Consider the following 240-nt stretch of genomic DNA (forward strand, 5'->3'; position numbering starts at 1 on the left):
GTTGATGAGGTAATCTGGGAAGAGCCCAGGTCTGTGCAAAGTGTAGGGCAGCTCCTGCGAAAAAAGACTGTACCTAATTAAAGCTTAGCCTTCTGCCTATCACCCTGCCTTCAATTCAGGATTTAGGGTGTATGCCTGGCACTGGAATCCAGCTAACCACCTGTATTGTTACCAGGTGTTCTGAAGTGACAATGCAATCTGTTCGCCAGATATAAAAGGACAATCAGAGAGGAAGAACTT

Source organism: Homo sapiens, chromosome 3 (genome assembly GCF_000001405.40).
Source record: "Homo sapiens chromosome 3, GRCh38.p14 Primary Assembly".
In the NCBI taxonomy this organism is placed as follows: Eukaryota; Metazoa; Chordata; class Mammalia; order Primates; family Hominidae; genus Homo; species Homo sapiens.